At 44.0% G+C, this 3,150-nt stretch overlaps 1 pseudogene; it reads left to right on the top strand.

Annotated features, from left to right (window-relative positions):
* On the top strand, positions 1,004–1,442 carry RPL35P4 (ribosomal protein L35 pseudogene 4; annotated as a pseudogene).

Below are 3,150 nucleotides of genomic sequence, written 5' to 3'. Positions count from 1 at the left end.
AATTGAATCAGCAGTTGAAAAGCTTTTTATAGAAGAAGTCTCCAGGTCTGTATGGATTCACTGGTAAATTCTACCTAACATTTAAGGAAAAAAATAAGGCCAATTGCAGAGACTCATGCCTGTAATACCAACACTGGGAGGCGGAAGCAAGAAGATTGCTTGAGCCCAGGAGTTCAAGACCAGCCTAGGCAACAAAGCAAGAGATCCCATCTCTACAAAAAATTTAAAAATTAGCTGGGCATGGTAGCATACATCAGTGGGCTTAGGTCTTCAGGAGGCTAAGGTGGGAGGATCACTAGCCCAGGAGGTGGAGGGCTCCATTTTGCCACTGCACTCCAGCCTGGGTGACAGCATGAGACTCTGTCTAAAAAGTAAATAAAGAAAATAAAATTTAAGGCCAGGCGCTGTGGCTAACACCTGTAATCCGAGCACTTTGGGGGGCCGAGGCGGGTGGATCACGAGGTCAGGAGATCGAGACCATCCTGGCTAACACGGTGAAACCCCGCCTCTACTAAAAATACAAAAAATTAACCGGGCGTGGTGGCCGGCGCCTGTAGTCCCAGCTATCGGGAGGCTGAGGCAGGAGAAAGTCGTGAACCCGGGAGGCAGAGCTTGCAGTGAGCCAAGATGGCGCCACTGCACTCCAGCCTGAGTGACAGAGCGAGACTCCCTCTCAAAAAAAAAAAGAAAGAAAGAAAGAAAAGAAAATTTAAAAATATATACAAATTCTACATAATCTTTGTCAGAAACTAGAAGAGCAGGAATACTTCTCAACCTACTTTATGATTTTGCTAACAAAATCATACAAAGACAGTGAGACAATTATAAAACAGTATTGTAACCAACATAGATGCAAAAAATCCTCAATAAAATATTAGCAAATCAAATCCAGGAATATATAAAAAGAATAATACATCATGACCAAGCAGTTTGTCCCAGTAATACAAGGCTGACTTAATAGTCCACAGTTTAAAACATGTAATCCACCATATTAATAGTCTAGCTCTTTCCCTCAGAGCAGGCAGCGGCGGTGGCCTATGCAGCAATGGCCAAGATCAAGGCTCGAGACCTGCACGAGAAGGAGGAGCTGCTGAAACAGTTGGATGACCTGAAGGTGGAGCTGTCCCAGCTGCACGTCGCCAAAGTGACAGGCGGCGCGGCCTCCAAGCTCTCTAAGATTTGAGTCGTCCGCAAATTGGACGTGTTCTCACGGTTATTAACCAGACTCAGAAAGAGAAACTCAGGAAATTCTACAAGGGCAAGAAGTATAAGCCCCTGGACCTGTGGCCTAAGAAGACACGCGCCATGTGCTGCCGGTTCAACAAGCACAAGGAGAACCTGAAGACCAAGAAGCGGCAGCGGAAGGAGAGGCTGTGCCTCCTGCGGAAGTACGCAGTCAAGGCCCGAGTGGCGCGTTGTCAATAAAGCACAGCTGGCTGAGAAAAAAAAAGTCTAAAGAAGAAAAAACATAGGAACATAATAATTGATGCAGAAAAAGCATTTGGCAAAATTCAACATACATTTATGGTAAAAACCCTCAGCAAACTGGAAAAGAAGGGAACTTTCTCAAACTGATAAAGGGCATCTTAAAAAACCTACAGGTAATAACATATTACATATTACTTATATGTGACTATACAAGTCACATGATATTACTTAATAGTGAAAGACTGAATGTTCTTCCTCTAAGACTAGAAACAAGGCAATAATGTCTACTCCTACCTCACCTATTCCAAGTCACATTGAAGTCCCAGCCAGTGTAATATCATGAGAAAAAGGAATAAAAGTCATATAGATTGAGGGAAAAGATATAAAAGAGTCCCTATTCTCAGATTATGTGATTGTGTAGAAAATCTCAAGGAATTTGTATTAAAAAACAAATTTCAAGACATAATTTAATTTGGCAAGGTTACAAAGTTAATCGACAAAAATCAATAATATTTCTATATACTAGTAATAAACATTTGGAAATGAAAAATTTAAATAACATTTATAATAGTTTTTAAAATGAAATACATATACATGTATACATGATATAAGTGATATTTAATGGCATAAATCTAACAAAATAAGTACAGTATCTCTATCCTACATACAATATACCATTGAGGACAGAAATCAAAGAAAACCTAGATAAATGAAGACATATGCCGTGCCAATCAATTACAAGATTCAATACGGGCCAGGCACAGTGGCTCATGCCTGTAATCCCAGCATTATGGGAGGCCAAGGCAGGCAGATCACGAGGTCAGGGGTTTGAGACCAGCCTGGCCAACATGGTGAAACCCCGTCACTACTAAAAATGCAAAAAAAATTAGCCAGGTGTGGTGGCACACGCCTGTAGTCCCGGCTACTCGGGAGGCTGAGGCACGAGAATGGCTTGAACCCGGGAGGGAGAGGTTGCAGTGAGCCTAGACTGCGCCACTGCACTCCAACCTGGGCAAGAGAGCAAGACTCTGTCTCAAAAAAAAAAAAGATTCAATATAATAAAGATGTTATTTTTTGCAGGCCGGGCGCGGTGGCTCACGCCTGTAATCCCAGCACTTTGGGAGGCCGAGGTGGGCAGATCACGAGGTCAGGAGATCGAGACCATCCTGGCTAACATGGTGAAACCCCATCTCTACTAAAAATACAAAAAATTAGCTGGCAGTGGTGGCAGGTGCCTGTAGTCCCAGCTACTCCGGAGGCTGAGGCAGGAGAATGGTGTGAACCCGGGAGGTGGAGCTTGCAGTGAGCCGAGATCACACCACAGCCCTCCAGCCTGGGCAACAGAGCAAGACTCTTGTCTCAAAAAAAAAAAAAAAAAAAAAAAAGATGTTATTTTTTCCAAAGACAGTTATAGATTTAATGCATTTCATTTCCGGGTGGTCACAGTGGCTCACGCCTGTAATCCCAGCACTTTGGGAGGCCAAGGCGGGCAGATCGCCTGAGGTCAATCAGGAGTTCGAGACCAGCCTGGCCAACACGGCGAAACTCCGTCTCTACTAAAAATACAAAAATTGGCCAGGCACAATGGCTCATGCCTGTAACCCCAACACTTTGGGAGACCAGGGTGGGTGGATCACCTGAGGTCAGGAGTTCGAGACCAGCCTGACCAACATGGAGAAACCCCGTCTCTACTAAAAATACAAAATCAGCCGGGCGTGGTGG

The sequence above is a fragment of the Homo sapiens genome, chromosome 7, assembly GCF_000001405.40.
Source record: "Homo sapiens chromosome 7, GRCh38.p14 Primary Assembly".
In the NCBI taxonomy this organism is placed as follows: Eukaryota; Metazoa; Chordata; class Mammalia; order Primates; family Hominidae; genus Homo; species Homo sapiens.
This window is presented reverse-complemented; position numbering and strand designations above follow the sequence as displayed.